This window comes from Homo sapiens, chromosome 11, assembly GCF_000001405.40.
Source record: "Homo sapiens chromosome 11, GRCh38.p14 Primary Assembly".
In the NCBI taxonomy this organism is placed as follows: Eukaryota; Metazoa; Chordata; class Mammalia; order Primates; family Hominidae; genus Homo; species Homo sapiens.
Window position 1 is genome coordinate 122,559,297 of NC_000011.10, and position 972 is coordinate 122,560,268.

At 44.3% G+C, this 972-nt stretch overlaps 1 non-coding gene across 1 annotated transcript; it reads left to right on the forward strand.

Annotated features, from left to right (window-relative positions):
- The first annotated feature begins 650 nt into the window (after positions 1-650).
- On the forward strand, positions 651-723 carry TRK-TTT2-1 (tRNA-Lys (anticodon TTT) 2-1). The gene has a single exon. It is a non-coding gene; the product is annotated as a tRNA-Lys (tRNA).
- The last annotated feature ends 249 nt before the right edge of the window (positions 724-972 follow it).

Below are 972 nucleotides of genomic sequence, written 5' to 3' on the forward strand. Positions count from 1 at the left end.
TCATGTTTATCGCAGCATTATTTACAATAGCCAAGATATAGAATCAAGCTAAGTGTTCAATAACAGATGAATGGTTAAAGAAAATGTGATATATGGCAGGGCGCGGTGGCTCATGCCTGTAATCCCAACACTTTGGGAGGCTGAGGCGGGCAGATCACCTGAGATCAGGAGTTCGAGGTCAGCCTGCCCAACATGGATAAACCCCATCTCTACTAAAAATATAAAATTAGCCAGGCATGATGGCACATGCCTGTAATCCCAGCTACTCAGATGGCTGAGGCAGGAGAATCGCTTGAACCCAGGAGATGGAGGTTGCGGTGAGCCGAGATCATGCCATGGCATTCCAGCCTGGGCAATAAGAGCGAAACTCCGTCTCAAAAACAAAGAAAAAGAAAATGTGGTATATATACACAGTGGAATACTATTCAGCCATAAAAGAGAATGGAATCCTGTCATTTGCAACAACATGGATGAATCTGGAGGGCATTATGTTAAGTGAAATAAGCCAAACACAGAAAGACAAATACAGCACGATCTCACTCACGGGAATCTAGAGAGTTGGTCTTGTAGAAGTGGTGAGTACGACAGTGGCCACCAGAGGCAGGGAGATTAGGGGAAAGGGAGAATGGGGAGAAACTGAGTAATGGGTAGCCTGGATAGCTCAGTTGGTAGAGCATCAGACTTTTAATCTGAGGGTCCAGGGTTCAAGTCCCTGTTCAGGCGATGGCGTTTGTTTTTAGGCTGGGAGGCGAGCGGAGGTTGCACTTAGCCGAGATCACACCATTGCACTCCAGCTTAGGCAAAAAGAGTGAAACTCCATCTTAAAAAAAATAAAATAAGAAAAATTAGAGGCAAGCGGAGGTTGCAGTTAGCAGAGATCATGCCATTGCACTCCAGCTTAGGCAAAAAGAGTGAAACTCCTTCTTAAAAAGAAAAGAAAAAAAAAAAAAAGTTGGTCAATGGGTACAAAGT